Source organism: Homo sapiens, chromosome 12 (genome assembly GCF_000001405.40).
Source record: "Homo sapiens chromosome 12, GRCh38.p14 Primary Assembly".
Taxonomy (NCBI): Eukaryota; Metazoa; Chordata; class Mammalia; order Primates; family Hominidae; genus Homo; species Homo sapiens.
The window spans coordinates 62,404,187-62,430,811 of record NC_000012.12 but is presented as its reverse complement, the minus strand read 5'-3'; the positions used below and the strand labels follow the sequence as shown (position 1 = coordinate 62,430,811).

The following is a 26,625-nucleotide window of genomic DNA, read 5'->3' as shown; positions in this document are numbered from 1 at the left end:
TTCATTCTTTTGCATGTAGATATCCAATTTTTCAGCATTATTTGTTGAAGAGACTCTCTTTTCACCCATTGTATGTTCTTGGCACCCTTGTCAAGGACATGTTGGTGGTATATGTATGGATTTATTTCTGGGCTTTCTATCCTATTTCATTAATCTATATGTCTATTTTTATGCCAGCACCATAGTGTTTTAGTTACTGTAGCTTTGTAATCTATTTTGAAATCACGAAGTGTGATGCTTCCAACTTTGTTCTTCTTTTCCAAGATTGCTTTGGCTATTCTGAGTTTTTTATAGTTCTATATGAATTTTGGAACTGTTATTGCTATTTCTGTAAAAAAAAATGCCTTTCGGATTTTGATGAGCATAGCTTTGAATATGTAGATGACTTTGGATAGTATTGGCATTTAAACAATGTGAAGTCTTCAAATTCATGAATATAGTGTATCTTTCCATTTATTTGTGTCTCCTTTAGTTTATTTCATCAATGTTTTATAGTTTTCAGTGTAGAAGTCTTTCACCTCTGTGATGCTTAATTTTAGGTGTCAACTTGACTGGATTAAGGGATGTCCGGACACCTGGTAAAGCATTATTTATGGGTATGTCTATTAAGGGGTTTACAGAAAAGACTGACATTTGAATGAATGCATTGATTAAGGAAAATCCACTCTCACCCAATGTCAGTGGGCACCACTCAATCAGCTGAGGGCCTGGATAGAACAAAAAAGGCAGAGGAAAGGTAAACTAACTCTCTGTCTGTCTGTCTCTCTCTCTCTCTCTTTCTCTCTCTCTCTCTCTCAGAGCTGGGGCACCCTTCTTCTCCTGCCCTTGGACATCAGATCTTCAGATTATCTGGCCTTGGGACTCTGGGGCTTATGCCAGCCACCCCACTCCCACTTCAGGTTTTCAGTCCTTCAGCCTTGAACTGAGAGTTACACCATCATCTTCCCTAGTTCTGAAGACTTTACACTTGGACTGAGACATATTTACACTTCCCTGGTTCTCCAGCTTACAGACAACCTATCATGAGACTTCTTAGCCTTCATTATTATGTGAGCCAATTCCCCTAATAAATCTCCTTCTATCTATCTATCATCTATCTATCTATCTGTCATCTATCTATCTATCTATCTATCTATCTATCTATCTATCTATCCTATCTATTGATACATCCTATTCATTCTGTCCCTCCTAGAAAACACTGACTGACTAATACAACCTTCAACCTTCTTGGTTAAGTTTATTCCTAAGTATTTTATTCTTTTTGATACTATTATAAGTGGATTTGTTTGCTTTTCTTTTTGAATGGTTCACTGTTAGTGTATAGAAACACAATTTATTTTTGCATGTTGATTTTATATCTAGCAACTTTACTGAATTTATCTATTTTTTTTTAAATTTTTTTTCTTGAGATGGCATCTCACTCTGTCGCCCAGGCTGGAGTGCAATGGCGTGATCTCAGCTCACTGCAACCTCCACCTCCCGGGTTCAAGCGATTCTCCTGCCTCAGCCTCCTGAGTAGCTGGGACTACAGGCACCTGCCACCACACCCAGCTAATTTTTATACTTTTAATAGAGACAGGGTTTCACCATGTCGGCCAGGATGGTCTCAATCTCTTGACCTTGTGATCTGCCCGCCTCGGCCTCCCAAAGTGCTGGGATTACAGGCGTGAGCCACCGCGCCCGGCTGAATTTATCTATTCTAACAGGTTTTTTGTGGAGTCTTTATCAAAACTACAGTGAGATATCACCTCACACCTACCAAGATGTCTATTTAAAATATATATATATAACAAATACTGGTAAGGATGTGGAGAAATTAGAACCCTTGTACACTGTTGGTAGGAATGTAAAATGTTGCATCCGTCATGGAAAATCATATAGAAGTACCTCAAAAAATCGAAAATAGAAGTACCATAAAATTTCACTTTTGAAATTTTACTTTTGAGTGAAATCACTCAAAAGTAATTTCACTTTTGAGTATATGCCCAAAAAATTAAAATCAGGATTTTGAAGAGACATCTGCATTCCTATGTTCACTGCAGCATTATCCACAACAGTCAAGATATGTAAACAACCCAAGTTTACATCAACAGATGAATGGATAAAGAAATTGTGGATAAAGAAAATATATATGCAATAAAATGTTGCGTATAAATAAAATGTTCATCCTTATAGAATAAGGAAATCCTACTATTTGCGACCACATGGATAAGTCTTGAGGACATTAGGCTAAGAGAATAAGTCAACATACAAGGACAAATACTGCATGATTCCACTTATATGAGGTGTTTATAATATTCCAACTGATGGAAATTACAACTACAATTATGGTTGCCAGGGGATGAAGGGTAGGGGAAATAGGCGTTGTTCAATGGATATAAAGTTTTAGTTATGCTAGATACATAAGTTCTACATATCTGCTGTACAACATTATACCTATAATTAACAATATAGTATTGTACACTTCAAAATTTGTTAATAGGGTAAAGTTAGGTAAGTGTTCTAACTGCCTACTGCGCCCCCCTACCTCGCCAGAAAAAAACCCACAAAGAAAATCAAGGGAACTTCAGGATGCGATAAATCTATCTATTACTTTGATTGTAGTGGTGGTATCACATATGTGTGCATATGTCCAAACTCATCAAATTGTATGCATTAAATGTATGTGATTTTTATATATCAATTGTACCTCAACACAGTTGTTGAACAAAAGGTGTTGAATCTGCTGAATGCTTTTTTTCTGCAACTGAGATGATCTTACGATTTTTTCACGGGTGATTAGTTTTTAAAAATCAATTTGTAAACTTTATTGTTACTCCTAATGATACAAAAACACATACTATGATTTGTCTCTAAGTTTGTATAAGTGAATTAGGTTTTTTATTTGTGGCAAAAAAACATAATAAAATTTACCATCTTAACCATTTTTAAGTAACTATAGTCACATTGACATGTAACACATCCCTAGAACTTTTTCATCGTGCACTACTAAAAGTCAATATCCATTGAACAACAACTTGTAGATTGATTGCACTACAAACACAAAAATTTGCCTGGCATGGTGGTGTGCACCTGTAGTCACAGCTACTTGGGAGGCTGAGGCATGAGAATTGCCTGAACCTGGGAAGTAGAGGTTGCAGTGAGCCAAGATGGCACCATTGGACTCCAGCCGAGATGGCACCATTGCACTCCAGCTGAGATGGCGACAGAGTGAGACCCTGTTTCAAAGAAAAAGAATAAATAAAGTGGTGTACTTATAAAGTGGGGAAAATGGAGACAGACCCAGAGAAAGGGAGAGTGTCATGTGAACATAGACAGAAATTGGGATGATGCAAACAAGCCAAGGAACATCAAGGAAGAAAAGGTAGGCAAGACATGGAGAACAGGCTCTCGTTCACAAACCTCAGGTGGAACCAAACCTGCCAACACCTGGTTTCAGACTTCTCTACAGAATTACGAAAAATAAATTTTTGTTGTTTAAGCTATTTTTCTCTCTTAAGTTTGTGGTACTTTTATTTGGCAGCATATTTGGCAGAATATGATGTCACCCAGTCTAACAATCTCTATCTTTTAATTAGTGTGTTTAGATCATTTTCATTTAATGTAATTAGTGATATTATTGGGTTTAAGTCTCCCAATTCATGATTTGTTTACTTGTCTTATCTGCTTTTTGATTCTTTCACCTTTTTTGCATCCTTTAGTATGATTTGAATACTTTATTATTCCTTTTTAGTTTATTAGCTTTTTGGCAATGTCTTTTAGATTTTTTTGTCTTAATGGCTTCTCTGTAGTTTAAATTATACATACCTTACTTAACCTTTCCCATTTTATTCAGGTTAATATTTTACTACTTAAGTAAAAGGTAGAAACCTTACAACCACACAGGTTGTTGTACCCTCCTCTCTTTATCTTACAGTTGTCATATGTATTACACTTACAGACATTAATATTCCTACCAGGCAATGGTATAATTTTGAGAGGAGATTTATTTTACCCTATTTTAAGCTTATTAAGTTAGCATGCTATAATTTCATGAATGCTGAAGACACTAGAATCCTGTGTCAGAGACAAACGATGTTTTTATTCACACACACCAGTGGCAGAAACCAGAGAATCAGCATTTTGTGCTGGTTCCCTGAGCCCCACACCCATGAGGTAATGTAAAAGGCCTAAAGAAGCCAACATGCACAGTGGGTTTATGGGGCCAGAGGAAAGGAACATCAAAATTAATGAGTCCCATCTGTACTAAAAATACAAAATTAGCTGGGCATGGTGGCACATGCCTATAATCCCAGCTACTTGGGAGGCTGAGGCAGGAGAATTGCTTGAACCCAGGAGGCGGAGGTTGCAGTGAGCCAAGATTTTGCCATTGCACTCCAGCCTGGGCAACAAGAGTGAAACTCCATCTCAAAAAAAAAAAAAAAAAAAAAAAATTAAGGAGTCTTTCACTTTTATGGCAAGCCACAAAGAGGCCAGCTTTTTGTCTGAGAGCACATATTACATCACCTTTGATAATTACCAGCTGCATAAACAACTCTGAGAAATGACCTGGCTGAAAGAGTTGTTAGGGCCTTGCAATCTTTACACACTCCGCAAGACATGTAGGAGTACAAGAGGTCCGTAGCAGACTGCCTCCCAATCATATTTTGCTTTCCTCAGTAACACACATTTTTCAAAACTTAAGGGGAGAAAAATAGATTATTATATTTACTCAGACTGTGATAATTTTCATTGCTCTTCTTTCATTTTTCAAGTTTTAAGTTTCTGGTGTCATTTTCCTTTAGCCTGAGTAATTTCCTTTAAGTATTTTTTAGAGCTGATTTGCTGGTGATGAAGTCTCACAATTTTCCTTCATCTGAGAATGTCTTTATTTCCTTTTTATTCTGAGGGATATTTTTGCTGGACAAAGAATTCTGAGTTGACAGTCTTTTCCTCTCTTGACAGTTTAAAGGTGTTCCATTCTCTTTTGGACTCCATCGCTTCTGATGAGAAATTCAAAGTCATATAAATAATGTGTTAGGTCTTTTGATATTGTCCCATGGGTTCTTATTGCTCTTTTTTTTTTTTTTTTTTTTTTTTTTTAAATCTTCTCTCCCTACTCTGTTCTTCAATTTGGTTAATTTCTGTTTATCCTCTTCAGGGTCACAGATTATTTCCTCTGACATCTCTGTTTTGCTATTGAGCCCATCCAGTGATTATTATCTTTAATTTAAAATAACTAGGCCGGGCGCTGTGGCTCACGCCTGTAATCCCAGCACTTTGTAGGCCGAGGCAGGCGGATCACTTGAGGTTGGGAGTTCAAGACCAGCCTGACCAACATGGAGAAATCTCATCTCTGCTAAAAATACAAAATAGCTGGGCGTGCTGGCGCATGCTTGTAATTCCAGCTATTTGGTAGGCTGAGGCAGGAGAATCGCTTGAACCTGGGAGGTGGAGGTTGCGGTGAGCGAGATCACGCCATTGCACTCCAGCCTGGGCAACAAGAACAAAACTCCACCTCAAAAAATAAAATAAAATAAAATAAAATAAAATAACTTTTTTATTTTGAAATAATTATTGAATAACAGTAAGTTGCAAAGATAGTACAGCAAGGCCTTATGTATTCTTCATCCAGTTTACCCCAATGGTTTCATCTTGTATAATTATAGTACGATATCAGAATCAGAAAATGATGTTGGTACAATGTGTATTTATAACTCTGTATCATTAAATCACATGTGTAGATTTGTGTAATCACCACTGTAATCAAGAAACCAAACTATTCCATCACTATAAAGATCTTTTGTGTTATCCTTTTATAGTCATACTTCCATCCCCCAACATCTGTAACCCCTGGCAACTACTAATCTGCTTTCTATTTCTATAATTTTGTCATTTTGAGAATTTCATACACATATAACCATACAGTATGTGAGCTTTTGAAATTGGCTTTTTCCCCACTCAGCACAATGCCGTTAATATCTATCAAAGTTATGTTTTCAATGAGTTTTTTCCTTTTAATTGCTAAGTAGAATTCTATGGTATAGATGTACTGGTTTGTTTAACCATTTACCTATAGAGAGACATTTTTTTTCTAGTTTTGGCCTATGAACAATCATTTACAGGTTTTTAATGAGACAATGACTTCTTTTCTTCAGAATAAATGCTAGGAGTGATTGCTGTGTTACCTAAGTATTTGTTTAGTTTCTAAAGAAAGTGCCTATTTACCAGAGTTGCTATACTATTCTGTATTCCCACCAGCAATGCATAAAATCCTGTTTTTTTGCCTCCTTTTCAGTATTTAGAATTTGTCCCAACACTTTATTCTATGTAATCTTCTATAAGTTTTACAGTTGTATGCTTTGCATTTAAATTATTCATTTTGAGTTAATTTTTGTATAAGATAGAAGTTTTAGGTCTAGGTTCATTCTTTCACTTATGCATATCCAATTCTCCGGCATCATTTGTTCAAAATATTATCTTTCCTCCATTGAGTTGGTTTTTCAATATTGTCAGATATCAGCAAACTGTACTGGTGTGTGCCATCTTGGGAGACCTCTCTTCTGTTCCATTGATCTGTGTGTCTATCTCTCTGCCAATATCACAGTCTTGATTACTGTAGCTTTATGTCTTGAAATCTGCTGTTTGTCTTTCCCTCTGTAAATTGGTCACACTTCCCTTATTCTTTACATGCCAAATAACTTTTGATTCTGTCCTAGGAAATGCGACGGCTATACTGTGTAGACCGTGGGTTCTATTATAATTCCATGAAGGGTGTTAAGTTTTTTTTTCTCAACAAGTCAATCAACTCAATTTAGGATCAAACCAAAAGTTCTGTCTTGTCCATGGTGGCTCCAGTCTCATTACTGTTCACACCTTTGCTCTTTCCCTTTGGGTCTTTCCCACATAGCCATCACTTGTTTTTCTTTTTCTAGCTTTTTAAAATGGATACTTAATTTTAAACTTTCTTCTTTTGTAAAATAAGTACTTCAAGTATAATCTCACTTGAGACGGAGTCTTGCTCTGTCACCCAGGCTGGCGTGCAGTGGCGCCATCTCGGCTCACTGCAACCTCTTCCTCCCAGGTTCACGCCATTCTCCTGTCTCAGCCTCCCGAGTAGCTGGGACTACAGGTGCCCGCCACCATGCCCGGCTAATTTTTTGTATTTTTAGTAGAGACGGGGTTTCACTGTGTTAGCCAGGATGGTCTCGAACTCCAGACCTCGTGATCCGCCCACCTCGGCCTCTCAAAGTGCTGGGGTTACAGGCGTGAGCCACGGCACCCAGCCCTCACTTGAATATCTGTTTTGGCTTCAGCCCACAAAGTTTGATAGTTTTTTATGATCAACCAGTTCTAAATATACTGTTATGTCCCTTGTGATTTCTTCTTTGACCCATGTTGATTTTCTAGATAACTTGTTATTTTTAACTTGAAGTAACTTGGTGAGAGCATATTCTGTATGATGTCAATTCTTTGTAATTTACTGAAACTTAATTAATGGCCCAGCATTTTGTCCATCTTAGTGATTATTCCATGTGCATTTGCCATGTGTAGTGTTCTACAAGCATCAGTCATCTGATATTAATATAGCCACCCTAAATTTTTTATCATAGGTGTTTGCATGGCATATCATTTCCCACCGTTTTATTTTTAACCTGTCTGGTATTCATATTTAAATTGTGTCTCTTGGGAACAGTATATAATTGGATTTTGTTGGTTAGGGGCTATCTTACAATTTCTTCATTTCTTGGAGAGTTCAGTTCATTTACATTTAACTTAATTATTGATATGGTTGGGTCTAAATCTACTATTTCCTCTGTTTTCTATTTGTTCTTTCTGTTCTTTGTTCCTTTTCCTCTCCTTTTCTACCTTTACTGTTTTGGGGGGAGGGAGTGAAACAATCTTATTTGTTATTCCATTCTATCCCCTTTGTTGGATTTTAGCTATATCTTTTATTTATTTATTTATTTATTTTTTGAGATGGAGTTTCACTCTTGTTGCCTAGGCAGGAGTACAATGGTACGATATCGGCTCACTGCAACCTCCATCTCCCAGGTTCAAGCGATTATCCTGCCTCAGTCTCCCAAGTAGCTGGGATTACAGGTGCCCAACACCATGCCCAGCTAGTTTTTTTGTATTTTTAGTAGAGACGGGGTTTTACCATGTTGGCCAGGCTGGTCTTGAACTCCTGACCTCAGTTGATCCACCTGCCTCGGCCTCCCAAAGTGCCGGGATTACAGGCATAAGCCACCGTTCGTGGCCTGTGCTACATTTTTTTTTTTTTAATTTTACTTCCATAGGTTATTAGGGAACAGGTGGTGTTTGTTTACATAAGCAAGTTCTTTAGTGGTGATTCGTGCATCATCCAAGCAGTATACACTGTACTCTATTTGTAGTCTTTTATTCCTCAACCTCTTCCCACCCTTTCTCCCTGAGTCCCCAAAGTCCATTGTGTCATTTTTATGCCTTTGCATCCTCATAGCTTAGCTCCCACTTATGAGTGAGAACTTTTGATGCTTGGTTTTCTATTACTGAGCTACTTCACTTAGAATAATAGCCTCCAACCTCATCCAGGTTGGTGCAAATGCCATTAATTCATTCCTTTTTATGGCTGAGTGGTATTCCATCATATATATCCCACAGCTTCTTTATCCACTCATTGACTGATAGGCATTTGGGCTGGTTCCACATTTTTGCAATTGCAAATTGTGCTACTACAAACACGCGTGTGCAAGTACCTTTTTTGTGTCATGACTTATTTTCCTCCAGGTTGATACCAAGTAGTGGGATTGCTGGATCAAACGGTAGTTCTACTTTTAGTTCTTTAAGGAATCTCTGCACTGTTTTCCATAGTGGTTGTACTAGTTTACATACTCAGTAGCAATGTAGAAGTAAGTGTTCCCTGTTCACTGCATCCACACCAACATCTATTATTTTTTGATTATGACCATTCTTGCAGGAATAAGGTGGTATTGCATTGTGGTTTTGATTTGCATTTCCTTGATCATTAGTGATGTTGAGCATTTTGTCATGTTTGTTGGCCATTAGTATATCTTCTTTTGGGAATTTTCTATTCATGTTCTTAGACCACTTTTTGATGGGATTGTTTGCTTTTTTCTTGCTAATTTGTTTGAGCTCCTTGTAGATTCTGGATATTAGTACTTTGTCACATTTATAGATTGTGAAGATTTTCTCCCACTCTGTGGAGTGTCTCTTTACTCTGCTGACTGTTCTTTTTGCCGTGCAAAAAGCTCTTTAGTTTAATTAAGTCCCAACTATTTATCTTTGTTTTTATTGCATTTGCTTTTGGGTTCTTGGTCATGAAACCCTTGCCTAAGCCAATGTCTAGAGGGGTTTTTCCAACGTTATCTTCTAGAATTTTTATAGTTTCAGGTCTTAAAGTCCTTGATCCGTGTTGAGTTGATTTTTATATAAGGTGAGAGATGAGGATCCAGTTTCATTCTCCTACATGTGGCTAGCCAATTATCCCAGCACCATTTGTTGAAGTGGGTGTGCTTTTCCCACTTTATGTTTTTGTTTGCTTTGTCGCAGATCAGTTGACTATAAGTATTTGGGTTTATTTCTGGGTTCTCTGTTCTGTTCCATTGGTCTATGTGCCTATTTTTATGCCAGTACCATGTTGTTTTGGTGACTATGGCCTTATAGCATAGTTTGAAGTAAGGTAATGTGATGCCTCCAGATTTGTTCTTTTTGCTTAGACTTGCTTTGGCTATGTGGGCTCTTTTTTGGTTACATATGAATTTTAGGATTGTTTTTTCTAGTTCTGTGTAGAATGATGGTGGTATTTTGATGGGAATTGCATTGAATTTGTAGATTGCTTCTGGCAGTATGGTCATTTTTCCAATATTGATTCTACCCATTCATGAGCATGGGATGTGTTTCCATTTGTTTATGTCGTCTATGATTTCTTTCAGCAGTGTTTTGTAGTTTTCCTCGTACAGGTCTTTCACTTCCTTAGCTAGGTATATTCTTAAATATTTTATTTTATTTTTTGCAGCTATTGTAAATGGGGTTGAGTTCTTGATTTGATTCTCAGCTTGGTCACTGTTGGTGTATAGAAGAGTTACTGATTTGTGTACATTAATTTTGCCTCCAGAAATTTTGCCAAATTATTTTATCAGTTCTAGGAGCTTTCTGGAGGAGTCTTTAGGGCTTTCTAGGTAAACAATTATATTGTCAGCAAACAGCGACAGTTTGACTTTCTCTTTACTAATTAGGATGCCCTTTATTTCTTTCTCTTGTCTGATTGCTCTGGCTTGGACTTCCAGTACTATGTTGAAGAGGAGTGGTGAGAGTGGGCATCCTTGTCTTGTTCCAGTTCTCAGAAGGAATGCTTTTGACTTTTCCCTAATTGGTATTACATTGGCTGTGGGTTTGTCATAGATGGCTTTTATTACATTGAGGTATGTCTCTTATATGCTGATTTTGCTGAGAGTTTTAATAATAAAGGGATGCTGGATTTTGTGGAATACTTTTTCTGTGGCTACTAAGATGGTCATGTGATTTTTGTTTTAAATTTTTTTATGTGGTGTATCACATTTATTGACTTGCCTATATTAAACCATCCCCGCATCTTTGGTGTGAAACCCACTTGATCATGGCAGATTATCTTTTTATATGTCATTAGATTTGGTTAGCTAATATTTGGTTAAGGATTTTTGAATCTATGTTCATCAGGGATATTTGCCCGTAGTTTTTTTTTTTTGGTTGTGTCCTTTCCCAGTTTTGGTATTAGGGTGATACTGGCTTCATAGAATGATTTAGAGAGGATTCCCTCTTTCTCTACCTTGTGGAATGGTGTCAATAGGATTGGTACCAATTCTTTGAATGTCTGGTAGAATTCTGGGAATCTGTCTGGTCCTGGACTTCTTTTTGTTGGTAATTTTTAAATTACCATTTCAATATCGCTGCTTATTATTGGTCTGTTCAGAGTATCTATTTCTTCCTGATTTAAGCTAGGAGGGTTGTATCTTTCCAGGAATTTATCCATCTCCTCTAGGTTTTCCAGTTTATGCACGTAAAGGTGTTCATAGTAGCCTTGAATGATCTTTTGTATTTCTGCGGTGTCAGTTGTAATAGCTCATATTTTGTTTCTAATTGAGCTTATTTGGATTTTCTCTCTTCTTTTCTTAGCTAATCATGCTAATGATCTATCAATTTTACTTATCTTTTCAAAGAACCCACTTTTTGTTTCATTTATCTTTTGTATTTTTCTGTTGTTGTTGTTTCAGTTTCATTTAGTTCTGCTCTGATCTTGGTTATTTCCTTTCTTCTGCTGGGTTTGGGTTTGGTTTCTTCTTGTTTCTCTAGTTCCTTGAGGTGTAACCTTAGATTGTCACTTTATGCTCTTTCAGACTTTTTGATGTAGGTCTTGATTTTATTTTTCATCCAAGGGTCATTCAGGAGCAGGTTATTTAATTTCCATGTACTTGCATGGTTCTGAAGGTTCCTTTTGGAGTTGATTTTCAGTTTTATTCCACTGTGATCTGAGAGAGTGCTTGATATAATTTCAATTTTCTTGAATTAATTGCGGCTCACTTTATGGCCTATCATATGGTCTATCTTGGAGAAAGTTCCATGTGCTGATAAATAGAATGTATATTCTGCAGTTGCTGGGTAGAATGTTCTGTAAATATCTGTTAAGTCCATTTCTTCCAGGATATAGTTTAAATCCATTGTTTCTTTGTTGACTTTCTGTCTTGATGACCTGTCTAAGTGCTGTCAGTGGAGAATTGAAGTCCCCCACTATTATTATGTTGCTGTCTATCTCATTTCTTAGGTCTATTAGTAATTGTTTTTATACATTTGGGAGCTCCAGTGTTAGGTGGATATATATTTAGGATTGTGATATTTTCCTGTTGGACAAAACCTTTTATCATTTTGTCTTTTTTAACTCTTTGTCTTTTTAAACTGCTGTTGCTTTAAAGTTTTTTTTTTGATATAAGAATAGCTACTCCTGCTTGCTTTTGGTGTCCATTTGCATGGAATGTCTTTTTCCACCCCTTTACCTTAAGTTTATGTCAGTCCTTATGTGTTAGGTGAGTCTTTTGAAGGCAGCAATAGTTGGTTAGTGAATTGTTACCCATTCTGCAATTCTGTATCTTTTAAGTGGAGCATTTAGGCCATTTACACTCAACGTTAGTATTGAGATGTGAAGTACCATTCCATTCATTGTGCTATTTGTTGCCTGTAAACCTTGGTTTTCTACCTTTACTTTTTGGGGGAGAGGGAGTGGAACAATGTTATTTATTATTTCATTCTATCCCCCTTATTGGATTTTAGCTGTAACTTTTTTTTGTTTTCTTCTTTTTTGATGGTTGTTCTAAGGTTTATAATATACATTCTTAACATATATTCTTTTGCATTGATATTATACTATTTCATATATTAATGTAAGAACTTTATAACAATATAATTCCATTTACACCCCTCTCATCTTTTGTCTATGTTGTCATGTATCTTTACTCCTACACATGTTACAAGCCCCACAGTATACTGTCATATATTTTGCTTTGAACAATCAGTTGATATTAAGAAAAGCTGGCTCTCTGTGAATTACTCTTTCTCTATTGCAATTCACCTGTCTTGACAAATTGGCTCTGTCTAGGCAGTGGGCAAGGTGAACCTGTTGGGCATACACTTTTAGTTAGATTTTGTTGCAATCAACAATGGTTCCATCATTTTTAGGATTTCATTTTTCAATTACTAGTCACTCTTGCTTTGCAAAACTATGATCTCTGAGACCCCTCAGCATAAACTGGCATCTTCCACATAAGCTCTGTCAACAGCATAGACTGTATGATTATGCCTCAGTGCCTTCAAACTGTTTTTATATTTAGAGTTTCTTAATGTTACTTGCAAGACTGCTAGGCTGATACAAGCCCCTCTTTCCTTACCAGAAGCCAGAAGTCTGATGTGGACATTTTGCCACAAGGATTTTGATACTAGAATTTTCCTCCTCCTCTTAATGTTAAAGCTAGTTAATTAAAATAAACTCTGTTTTTAAAAATTACCAAGTAGTAAGCAAAACTGTCTTAACTCATTACTAGGCCATATCCCATGGTACACCACTTCCCTTGTAGTGTAGCTCAGGAGGAGAACTGAGATTAAGTGTGGCTCAGGGATGATATAAGGCTTAGAGAAGAGGTAAAAGATGCTGTAAGTTATGAGGTAGGGATTAGACAATGTCTGACAGGCAAAACACATATATAATTGTAGAGTTATATGCTTATATTATTTATATTACAAAGGGCCATCATTTATTCTAAATAAGTAATTGCTCATGCAGCATAAGTTCACTTTATTGTAAATTGTATCATTAAACAAAAAGTCCCCAAAACCTTGGATTTGGGATATGATATGTGATAGAGTAAAATGGTTTTTTTTTTGTTTTTAATGTTCAAATATTACAATGCAAAGCTTGTGGGCTTTAGGGATAAAAGTAAGTAGAAAAAAGGCCATTTTCCACCCCAGATGAATACAGTTTTGGTTATCAGGCATAAAGACTAAAGTAAAAGAATATACTCAAGGTTAACACACCTTCACACTTCAAGCCCAGTCCCAAGATGCCACTGTGCCATTCCAGGAATCACATGTAGACAGAAATCTGTTAAAGAAGGATCATTTTTTCTTTCCTCCAGAAAAACTTCCCACAAGTACACCAGCAGACTTCCCTTCTGGACTCACTGGCCTTTAATGGGTTATGGGCCCAACACTAAATCAAAAAGACAAGGAGAATAGGACTACTTTCCATAAAATTGACTTTAAATAATAAATTCCTATCCCTAGTTACCTGGTTAGGGGGTGGATAACTTGCTATGCCCACTAGCAAGGAAGGATGACTATTGGGTGGATAACAATCATGTCTGTTGTAGCCAAATTTGACATGGAGAAGAAGAGACTTCTGACAATTTTCTCCCCTTGTCTAAGGTGTAATATAGATTTTTGAGGTGACAAAGAACCCAAATCAAGAGTACATTCCTTGTCTTTGGACAACTGTATTGAACAGATAAATGTTTGGGGTATCCCCAACTCAAAAAAGTATTCCTGGCCTTGTGTAGTCAAAGTATTATTTTTGTGGAGATGCCAGAAGCTCCAAGTTGTGAAAAGCGTCTGAACAAATGGGAATTCAGGATGCCCTCCAACTGGAGCAAGAGATAGCAACTGTATCTTCCTTACTGGAAAAAAGAATTCCTTACAATTAAAACTTCTTTAGAAAAATATAAATGAAATATAAATTTTCTACATTTAATCTTGAATATTCCAAATTCATAAATACCGAACTTAAAATGTTAGTATATCTAAAATGTACGTTTTTAGTGCACATTCATAAGGTAAATTACTTTTAAAGCTGTTAAAATATGTAGCCAGCAACATGTCAGGAATACAACACAATCACAATAAACACAATAAAGCTTCAGACTTTCAGAAAACTTGTTTAATAACTTTTACATTTAGGAACAAATACTATGCCACACATACACCATCTTAACATCTTAAGAACAATATTCTTCCATCAGGTAATTGTCTAGTGGGGGAAGAGACACACGTAACTTATAGCCCAAGGTGGCAGTTGATGTCAGAAGATCTAGCAAGTGCATTTTGGAGCAAGTCTTGAAGGAGTGTAGGAGTTCGCCAGGTAAGAGATAAGGCAGACCATGCAAATGTGGGACAAATGTGGGAAAGCCCCATTGTCAAGTAGTATGACATGTTTGAGGGCAAGTGAGGAATTAGATGAGGGCAAATTCTTACTTTTTTTCCTTCAAGCACCAGGTTAACAGGCAACCTGGGTGGACTGACTGTACCATACTCTTTGCTCTCTTGCTAAAGAAAGTTTATTAGAACTTGAGTATGAATCGTATTGAACAGAGAGCTGCTCTCATTCATAAGGAAGGAACAATCATTCCCATAGTTGGGTACTTCTTTATTAGTAATAATACCTGCCACATTTTTCATAATGATCAAGACACAAAACCTTGCAATTATTCTGAAAGGTAGGTAATATTCAATTACAGTGGTAGGAGTGGATGGCTTAAGTGAATGGGGATTTGGTTTCCTTATAAATATTAATAGCCCTCCATCACAAGCAAACTGTATATTCTGAGAAAAGTCATAGGTTTGCTAAGCAAATATGCAGTTTTAAGTCACATTGTTCCCTTCTAATCAGGTTGCTCACCCCAAGCCTTCCTAGATGGACATTCGGGAGCTGCTCTAGTTTACAGAGAGGTGAAAGGCAGAGAGGTGAGGTGAGTTGCACAAAAGTGGTAGGCTCAGAGGTGGTTTAACTCCTGAGCCTATGGTCCAAACCACTCTTTTCTACATGAAGGGATGTGATGGTTTATTTAATGTGTTGACTGGGCCACAGGGTGCCCAGATATGTGGTCAAACATTATTCTGGGCATATCTATGAGGGTGTTTTTGGATGAGATTAACATTTAAGTCAGTAGACTGAGTAAGGCAGATTGCCCTCTCTAATGTTGGTGGCTCTCATGAATTGAAGGCCTGAATAGAACAAAAAAGGCTCAAGTAAGGATAATTTCTCTTGCCTGATTGAACTGGGACATCAGTCTTTTCCTGCCTTTGCACTAAAACTGAAACATTCAGTCTTCCTGGGTCTTTAGCCAGGTAGCTTGTGGACTGGAACTTTTATCATTGGTTTTCCTGGTTCTCAACCCTTTGGACTCGGACTTGAACTACACCATTGGCATTCCTGGGTCTCCAGCCTGCTGACTGAAGATCATGAGACTTCTCAGCCTAAGTGCATGAACTAATTCCTTATAAATCTTTCTCTCCCTCATATATATATATATATATGTACATATATGATATATATGTATATACATGATATGTGTATATATGAGGGAGAGAGCTATACATATATGTGTATACACATATGCATCCTATTGGTCTTGTTTCTCTGGAGAATCCTGATTAATACAAGGAATTAGAAGAGAACTTTAAGACAGAAACAGGATCTCATTTTTTTTTTTTTTAAATGAAACCATGAAGATCATTCTGGTAGCAGGATAATGGACTGAAGTAGGAAGGGACTGCCAGCCAGATGTAATCCTATTGAGTGCACCCTGAATACACACTTCTATTTTTAAAAATGGGATGCTACATTATAGGCTGCCAAAGACATGTAGTTATTTAGTACTGGTTAAATGAAAATACATGGCCAGGTGCTGTGGTTCATGCCTGTAATCCCAGCACTTTGGGAGGCCGAGGTGGATGGATCGCCTGAGTTCAAGACTTCAAAACCAGCCTGGGTAACATGGTGAAACCTGGTCTCTACAAAAATTAGCCAGGTGTGGTGTGGTGGCACATGCCTGTAGACCCAGCTACTTCGGAGGCTGAGGTGGGAGGACCACTTGAGCCCAGAGGCTGGAGGCTGCAGTGAGATGAGATTGTGCCACTGCACTCCAGCCTGGGTGACAGAGAAAGACCTTGTCTCAAAACAAAACAAAACAAAAACCAGGCATACCTTGTTTTATTCTGCTTCACTTTATTATCATGCTTTGAAGATAATTGTTTTTGTTTTTTTACAAACAAGGCTTGTGGCAAGCCTACATTGAGCACATCTATAGGTGTTATTTTCCTAACAGAATGTGCTTACTGTGTGTGTGTCATATCTTGGTACTTCTCACATTTCAAATGTCTTCATTATTATTGTATCTGTTACGGTGATCTGTGATCAGTAATCTTTGATGTTACTGTTTTGTTTGAGGGCACAGACGTGTGTGTTCCAACTGCTCCACTGGCCATTCCCCATCTCTCTCCCTCTCCATGTGCCTCCCTATTCCCTGAGACATAACACTATTAAAACCAGGCCAGTTAATAACCATCCAATGGCCTCTAAATGTTCAGGTGAAGAGCTGTACATCTCTCTCTCTCTCTCAATCAAATGCTATAAATGATTGGAGCTTAGTGAGGAAAGCATGTTGAAAGCCAAGGCAAGCTGAAAGCTAGGCCTCTTGAGCCAAACAGCCAAGTTGTATATCCAAAGGAAGAGTTCCTGAAATTAAAAGTGCTACTCAAGTGAACACATGAATCATAAGAAAAGTGGTATAGAGAAAGCCTGAGTTTTTTTTTTTTTAATAGATCAAATCAGCCACAACACTATCTTAAGCCAAAGCCTAACGCAGAGCAAGGCCCTCTCTCTTCAATTCTATGGAGGCTAAGGTAAGGAAGCTGCAGAAGAAAAGTCTGAAGCTAGCAGTGGTTGATTCATGGAGTTTAAGGAAACAAGCTGTCTCCACAACAGACAAGCATAAGGTGAAGCAGCAACTGCTAAAGTAGAAACTACAGCAAGTTATCCAGAAGATCTAGCTAAGATCATTGATGAAGGTAGTTACACTAAAAACAAACTTTCAATGTAGATGAAAGTCTTATGTTGGAAGATGTCATCCAGGACTTTCATAGCTAGAGAAAAGTTGATGCTTGGCTTCAAACGAGAGACTGATTTCTTGTTAGGGGCCAATGCAATGCTAACTAATGTTCATTTATCATTCCAAAAATCCTAGGGTCCTTAAAATTAAACTAAATATAATGTTTTTGCTCTATAAAAGGAACCATAAAGCCTGGATGGTAGCACATCCGTTTATAGGAAGGTTTACTAAATATTTTAAGCCCACTGCGGAGATCTATTGCTCAGAAAAAGATTCCTTTCAAAATATTACTGCTCATTGACAAGTGCACCTGGTCACCCAAGAGCTCTATGGAGATGTATGAGATTAGTGTTTTTCTGCCTGCTAACACAACATCCATTCTGCAGCCATAGATCAAAGAATAACTTCAGCTTTCAAGTCTTATCATCCAAGAAATACATTTTATAAGGCAAAAGCTTTCATAGATAGTGATTCCTCTGATGGATCTGGGCAAAATAAAAACCTTCTGAAAAGGATTTGCTATTCTGGATGCCATTCATTCAGAATATTTGTGATTCATGGGAGTCAAAATATCAACATTAACAAGAGTTTGAAAGAAGTTAATTACAACTTTCATGACTTTGAGAAGTTCAAAACCTCAGTGGCGGCAGTAACTGCAGATGCGGTGAAAATAGCAAGAGAACTACAAGTGGAGCCTGAAGATGTGTCTGGATTGCTGCAATCTTATGATAAAACTTGAACAGATGATAAGTTGCTTCTTATGGGTGGGCAAGGAAAGTAGTTTCTTGACAATCTCAACATCTGTGAAAAGAAGGGGGGAAAGTCTTCTCCTGGTGAAGATGCTGTGAACATTGTTGAAAAGACAACAAAGGATTTAGAATATTCCATAAACTTAGTTGATGAAGCAGTGGCGGGGCTTTAGAAGATTAACTCCAATTGTGAAAGAAGTTCGGAAAGAAGTTCTACTGTGGGTATCAAATATTATCAAATAGCACTGCATGCCAGAGAAATCTCTTGTAAAAGGAAGAGTCAATTGATGAAGCAAACTTCACTACTGTCTTATTGTAAAAAATTGCCACGGCCACCCTAACCTTCAGCAACCACCATCCTGGTGAGTATCTATCAAAATGAGGCAAGACTGTCCATCAGCAAAAACATTACTACTTGCTGAAGGCTCTGATGGTTATTTAGCATTTTTTGGCAATAGTTTGAAAATTAAGGCATGTACATCTTTTTTAGGCACAATGTTATTGCAGTTAATAGACTACAGTATAGGGTAAATATGCCTTTTATATGCACTGGGAAACCAAAAAATTTGTGACTCACTTTATTTAAATATTTATGGTGGCTGGGAACCGAACCTGCAATATCTGAGGCATGCCTGTACCCACAGTTGTTACTAAATATATCTGCTATGGGCTCAACTGTGTCACCTCCAAATTCAGGTTGAAGCCTTAAATAGTATTTGGAGAGGAAGTCTTTAGGAGATAATTAGGTTTAGATGAGGTCATGAGGGTGAGGGCTTCATGACGGGATTAGTGCCCTTATAAAAAAGAGATGCCTCAGAGCTTGCTCTCCTCTCTGACCCTCCTCTGCTACCATGCAAGAACACAGTGAGAAGGCAGCCATCTGTAAGCCAGGAAAGGCACCCTCACCAGAAACCCAGTATACTGGTACCCTGATCTCAGATTCCCAGCCTCCAGAACTGTGAAAATATAAATTTCTGTTATTTAAGCCACCCAGTCTGTGTTTGTTATGGCAGCCTGAGCAGACTATGACAGTATCCAAACACATAAAAGCCATAACCTCTGGAGTCTGGATTATTGTCTTTAATTCAAATGACTTTAATGACTAATGAAACTGGACCAAAAAACAAAAAGACAACATAATTCATGTCAGCTGAAGGCAAAGGTTCTAAATGTGTTACGAAGTTATGCTCACAAATAGCTTTAAAAATTATATTTGTAACTGGATTTTGTTTTTGTATATTACTTTATATCTTGAATCTAGAATAGTGCCTGGCACATAGTGGACACTCAAAAAATATTTGATGAAGGAATGAATGAAGCTCTAGAGGCCTTAACAGATACAGAACAGATGGTTTGCTCCAGAGCCCAGTGCCATCCATCTAAAAAGTGAGGAGCCAGTTAAAGAGTAAAAATGAGAAAGAGCAAGAGGATGTAGTGACTATCTGAGTTGTCTCCAGACTTTGTGTACATGACTTTTCTCCTTCTAGCCCTCAGCTTCTACATCTGTAAAGTGGGATTCCTCAAGGATCTCTAGGGTCCTTTTCCCTTATTTCTGCATAAACAAATTAAAGCTTAGCAGCTAAAAACACAAACATCTGTTATCTCACAGTTTTTGTGGGTTAGGAATTCAGGTGTGGCTTGCTGAGAACCTCTGGATCAAGGTCTTTCATGGTGTTGCAACCAAGGTGCCTGTTGAGGATGCAGTCTCATATAATTGGATTCTAATATCCCTGATAAAATTTTAATTTTCAAGTTTACCATCATACTAAGACTTCTGTTCCAAGTCTTTTATAGGAGTGAGGCCCAAAATTAAAAAAAAAAAAAAACAAAAACAAATATTAACTTGACTCATCAATGCTATTAGTTATTAATTCCTTTGCTAAAAATATATACTTTTAACGACAGCTTCAAAAATGAAATTTAAGCCTTCCTCTCCACACCCATAAACTAATACTTTCAAGAGACCAGCATAATTTTATGGTTGTGAAAACAGTAATTCAGAGGTTAATGACCTGTTTGGAGCTAGCTATGGTGGAAGTTGTTGTAAGTGTAGAATGTTTCCTACCATATCTCACTGTAGGTAGTACCCAAATATCTAGGATTAATGATGTTTACTGTTTGAATTTGCAGTATTACTTCAACTTATACAATAGGTACATAGCTCAAAAGTGAATATAGCTCTGAGTTCTAGAAATTAAAAAGCTTTACCAAAGTCACTATTTAAGGGAGACCTACAGGAATTCTTTCTCAAATTAAAAAAAAATACTATAAGTAATTTTCCCATCTTTACTTTTTTTTTGTTTTTTAAAATAAGGGCAACTCTAAAATAATTCCTATTTGCTTTACATAATTCTTGGGAGACTGATAATTCACCACAATGTGATTACAAATAGATAATCCTTGGTGCTTCTATTAGGGAGTTCAAGAACTGAATGACTGGCTGGAGGTCGCGGTCTTTTTGGGGAAATGAGTTAAACAGGCATGATGGGATTAATTTGGATGAACTTATCAGACAATTTAAATATTGCCCACTTGATATAATGGAAAGATGGTTCTCACTTGAAAGAAGATTAAATGCTGTATTTAATAGAAATGACTCAAGGTTAGAAGAGAGTAGGTATGCATATGACTAGACATAAGTGAACACTTTAATACATTAGTCTAAATTACTTAAAACTTAGCATACTTAATCATGAACAGAGGAGCATTAAAGAGTTACGTCTGTTAACATCGAATACTCCTTTATGGAGTTTAAAAGAAAAGCAAATACTATTAAAAAAAAATTTTAATGAGAGACTTGTGCTTGATATGTTACAAAATCTAAGAATTCTGAAAGATTTTAAATAAAAATTAGAAATGTGGTGATGTTTAAGGTTTAAAACAACAGCTTGGGAAATGTTAAGTATGTGTCATTACTGAGAATAATGTAATAATACACATTGTGGGAAAGACTGTTGGGATGTTTCCATATTTATTGTTTTACTTTTATGTATGTAGATTTAACTCCAGCTAACAACAAACTTAAATGTCACAGCAGATAAAAACTGTTTTGTTTGTTTCACCAAACTATATAGAACAAGCTGCAAGTTCCTGACATGAGAAAAAAAACTTTAGCAACACGAGCACCAACTTTAATTATGATTTTCTACAGGAGAACATAGTAAATTACCAATACAACTTAAACATTTAAAATATATTTTGTGCATATTGAAAGTGTGTGGTCTTATTTTACACATTTTCAATTCCAGAGAGATAGTTGTATTTTTAGCTGCTTTGTAAAATCACATTTGCTACACATTTCTAGGAAAAAAAAATATCAAAACCCATTTGACTGATTTTCTCTCTGTCCTTTGAGACTGTAGTCCAATATATTACGTAAATTCCTGATTTTCCTTGAATGGCTTAGCCAGTTTCTGAATGTCCTTAATAGTCTGAGATCTATTTCACAACCCTGACAAGTTCCAGGCTCCCAAAAGTAGAGCTGGGGAATAATTAAACCATGGCACCGTGTGGGGTATGTTTCCCGATGCATATATTTTCCAAAAATAATTTTTGAACTGTCTGTTTTATATTATCCATTTAAAAATTCTTTACCCCATCATTAGTGAAGAAAAAAGTCTTGATAAATATTTGAATTTTTACCATCTATATTTTATTTTCCTAATTCTGATATTTTAAAGCCTATTCTATGCAGCTTATAAAATTTTGATGTATTCTATGTAGCTTATAAAATAACTCAATTTTAAACCAAAGTTTTCTTATCTGAGCTATTTGGAAATTCTTTTAATATATAGTAAATACGAATTAAACACGTAAAACACATACATATTGAATTGAAATGGCCTCCAAACCTAAAATGATTATTAAAAAACCATCATATATATTTCTCACTAGAAAATCTGATAATAAAATGATATATAATATAGATCTGCAACTGAATATATAACAAAAACTAGCAAGGATATAAATACACTCACCTTTTCCTCCTTTCCCTATCCTCTGGTCAAGTGGTACTTAGAAGAATTATTTGGGAATGAATACCAATATATTTTCAAGAGAGGTTGTTTCCAAATTCCTCATGTTAAGTTATTCAAAGAGCAAAAAATTTTTTATTTTTTTGTAAAGTAAAAACAAACAAAAAAAATGAGCAAAAACTTCTACTCTTATTCTATGGCCCTAGAAAGGAGCTCTTCCTTTCCTTCTCACTCCTCTGATATTTTAGAGGACCTCTGGTTCCTTCCCCTAGTCTATGATTCAAGAGTTTTCCACATTTCTATCTTAAAAATTAAAGCGGTGAGCTCATCTACACTGCACAAGCACAGAAGATCAGAAACATACTACATAGGGAGAGTTGGAAGTAGGCAATAATGAAATGCATTATCTGTAGGTAACTTAAAAATAACAAAACAAAAAATTGGCCTTTTTCTTGTCACCATACATCAGACTTAAACGTTATCAGTCTAATATATTCCTCCTCTCGGAGGCAGAGAGCTCCTACTACACCCTACACTCCCTTTGGTGTACCACTGAAGGAGACTCCATTTCAGTCTCCCGGCTTATTTTATAAGATAAACTCACTTCAATCAAATTAGTTCATAAAAAACCCCACCACCTTTATGTTGTATCTATTTTGGTACTTACTGATTTTCTTTGTGCCCAAATCAATGTTTTGTGTAGTTTTATATCCAGTTGTCAGGAAAGCAAGGATAAATACAGGACTACTAAAATAACACAGATTATGAGAAAGCAAGATATTTAAATAAAGCACCAGGCTGCAACTTTTTCAAGGAGGTTAATTAAAACTAAATTATAAGGCTGAGGCAGGAGGATCACTTTAACCCAGGAGTTCAAGGTTACAGTGAACTATGATTATGTCACTGCACTCCAGCCTGGGCGACAGAGGGAGACCTTGTCTCTAAACAAACAAACAAACAAACAGAAAGCAAAACTAGAGTAGAGTTTACAAAGTCCTGAAATTCAGGGTTGCATTTGGGGAAATGGAAAGAAGGGGACACAAGTTAGATGAAAAGGTAAGAAAAAAATGTCACATTGTATTTACCATTTAATTAAAATTGTAATAAAGGTATATAAATTAAATGAAATTAATTTTTAAAAGGGAATGGGTTAGTCAATATTCCAGTGGGTACTTTCTTATTCAATGCTCGAATACTGAGCTAAATATACTTTTAGAAGCAAAGTTATTAGACTTCAAGATGTCTTTCTATTTAGACTGAAGAAATCAGTGAGTGTGTAATAAAGTTTACAAAGCTCTTCCCATAAAATACATGATCTCATTTGAGCTCTCAACAATCCTATGAGGCAGACACTATAACACAGTGAGAGGTAGTATATATCTGAGGATAGAATATTGGCTCTACCCCATAGCAATTGTGTGAGCTTGGGAATATTACTTAAATGCTTTGTATCTTGGTTTCTTCATATGAAAAATGGGGATGACAACTATCCCTACCTCATAGCTGTTGTGGGATTAAATGAGAGAATGCATATAAACACTTTAATATAGTGCCTGGTCCATAGTAAGTGCTCAATAAATGCTGGCTATTATCATCATTATTCTACAGGTAAAGAAACACTATCAAAGATTAAGTTCAAAGTCATATGATTGCTAAGTGGCAAAGCTAGAAGTAGAAATTCTAGTCTAGATATATTCCCATTACCCTGTATTACCTATGAATATCTTTTTTTTTTTTGAGACAGAGTCTTGCTATGTTGCACAGGCTGGAGTGCAGGGGTGTGATTTCGGCTAACTGCGGCCTTGACTGCCTGGGCTCAAGCAATTCTCTCACCTCAGCCTCCCCAGTAGCTGGGAACACAGGTGTGTGCACACCCAGCTAATTAAAAAAAAATACATATATTTGTACAGATGAGGTTCTCACTATGTTACTCAGGCTGGTCTCAAACTCCTGGGCTCAAGTGATCCTCCCGCCTGAGTCTCCCAAAGTGCTGGGATTACAGGCATGAACCACCGTGCCCAGTCTGAATGCCTACTTTTAATTAGAATATGTATTATCCTTTTGCACTATTTTTAAAGTATACTTCTTGCAGCTGAAAAATGACATTTGAGTTTGGCAGTTTCAATGGCATTATTAACATCACTTCTTTTAGTGGGAACAGAAGTTAATGACAGGCATTAAAAAGAAAGTGGTCTCTGAAGAATTAGGATGGAGACCACAATATAGGTTTAAAAGATTTAGCTTTGACTTTTCTTTAAATCTTCAGAAAAATGGAAATATAGTTCATTAGTTGGTAGATGGCAGAAAGAATGTAAGCTCTGTGAAGGTAAGGATATTTGTTTACTGCTGTATCTCCAGACTCTACAACAGTGATTGGTACACAAACATATGTTTAATGAATAAATATTAAAGTGGACAAAAATCAACTTTAAAACGTCCTTAATAGTAGGATTCATTTTGCTCTGACATAATTTCCTTTCTAGTATTAACTATTTATAACTAAAAAGTCTAGCATATAGTCATCTAACCATAAAGTAGGGGATTTTTATTAAAAGATTAAGAGTAAGAAATAAAAGACTAAATAAGGCCTTGAATAGCTTTATTGAAATCTATATAAATAAACATGCACATTTCAAATGTAAACTCAAGTGAACTCAAGTGCAGACAAAATTTTAACCTCTGTCATGCAGGAGGTTAGTTTACATTAAAAAAAAAAAAAAGAAAAAAAAAACCCCAAAGCAGCTTTTAAAATACCAGGATGATAAACCAGCTTTAATATCAAGATATAAAGCAAAGCCATGATCAACATACCTCATTTATCCTGGTCAAATGCATTTTTTTTAAACTTTTAAATGCTAACATAAATAAATAATTTACCAAAATGTGCACTCACAGAGTGAACTTTTATTTACAATACACAATTTATAATCTATTGTATTTGATTAGTTCAAGTGAAGAACATTATACTTTTTGCTTTAATAACAGTGGGACACAAAGCAATTTCTCAGGTAGTCGATATGTGAAATGTGCCCCAGCATTTAGGTTTTCTATTAAAGGCAGTATTGTATGCCAATTTACAATACATTCTTTCAACTATATCAAAGGGAAAAAGCAGCAAATAAAAATGTTTCAAATGTTCACACATATTTTTGGCATCCTGGATCCTTGAATGTGGTGAACTAAAATCAAATTCAAGGTGTTTATGCTTTATATACTGTACAGGTTCTGACTCTGGAACATGCAAATGCCATTTCTCTTATAACAAGTTACCTTCTGAGAAAAGCTGTAAGGCTATGGTGAATTCCATCAGGAACACACAAAGAAAGTTAACAGACCTACCTTTATAGCCAATTGTCCATTAATGATTTAAAGGCCAGTATATGAAAAAAATTTCTCATCTAAGCTTGATGCAATTATTACTATGGGTACAGAATACTATTATGTCTGTCCTTATATTACAATAATTGGGAGAGCTCAAGTTGCCAAATTACCACAAAATGGGGTAGAGAAAAACAGACAGCAAAAATTTTAATTTTGGACCAACACCCAATTAAAGATATGCATTTTAAAGCAAAAAATGTTTTTGAATATCTGAAGAATAGATCCCAATAGCAGTAAATAATACTTACATGTAACTGAAAAATGACTTTAGATGGAGTATGAAATCTAGAACCTGTTTCCACAGTGGCAGTAAAATGAATATAATACTCTGGATTTTTAAAGGTATTACAAAGGGAAATAACTTTTCCAAGGTTGTTTCTTGTATCATGATTTGGTTTTTTAATAGGCCCACATTGATTACGGGGATAAATTTGAAAATGCGGTTTTCGAAGAATGCTGCCGCAGTATTTATGCCACATTGATACTGCAGCTAAATATCATAGTAGTATATACGGCAGCCTAATGCACATGAACTAGATTATCCAAAAACTAAGTTCAGCCATAGTTTTCTTGCAGTATTATTAGAGCAAAATAAATGACCAACATCCACAAATTTAACATTTGTCATCAACTCACATCCAAAAAATTAAAGGAAACATAATTAATCAAAACAGCAGCAAACTTAAAAGGGATTTATTTGTGATTTCCTATATATATTTAGCTTGTAAATACAAGACTGTAAATGTATTAAGAGACAATTTCTGTTAAAGTTTTCATTGTGTTTCACTTCAAGTACTGCACAAGTTAAAATCTGATAAAGGATTTACATTCGGTTATCTGAAACTCCCCATCTCAGACTTTTGTTTTAATGTGGTGGGTAACTTCATCATTTCCATAGATACCACCAGCAGGAAAGTGTCTCTTTTATGGCTTCTAGGACTTTCATTAGTTAGTGTGCATACAGTTTTCATTTTCTATATCATTGTCATTATCATTGCTATCTTCATCACTTTCTAATGGGATGCCAGTGGCAGCTGAAGCACCTTTAGTTTCTCGGTCAAGAGGAAAAAAGCCAGTTCCACTGAAAGTGTCTTGTCTCTGGTAGAAGAGTACATATGCTGCTTTGGACTGTCA

The 26,625-nt window shown here is 36.2% G+C and overlaps 1 protein-coding gene across 13 annotated transcripts in view; it reads right to left on the bottom strand.

The window, feature by feature from the left end:
- Positions 1-14,422: 14,422 nt before the first annotated feature.
- The window catches only part of USP15 (ubiquitin specific peptidase 15), a 155,986-nt gene continuing 143,783 nt past the window's right edge, over positions 14,423-26,625 (bottom strand). For all 13 annotated transcript variants that reach the window (NR_147078.2, NR_147079.2, NR_147082.2 and 10 more), the window contains one exon: positions 14,423-26,619. Coding sequence is in view for 8 of the 13 variants with exons in the window: in NM_001351165.2 (NP_001338094.1) it covers positions 26,437-26,619 (183 nt within the window). In the remaining 5 variants the exon portion in view is untranslated. The remainder of the gene's footprint in view (positions 26,620-26,625) is intronic.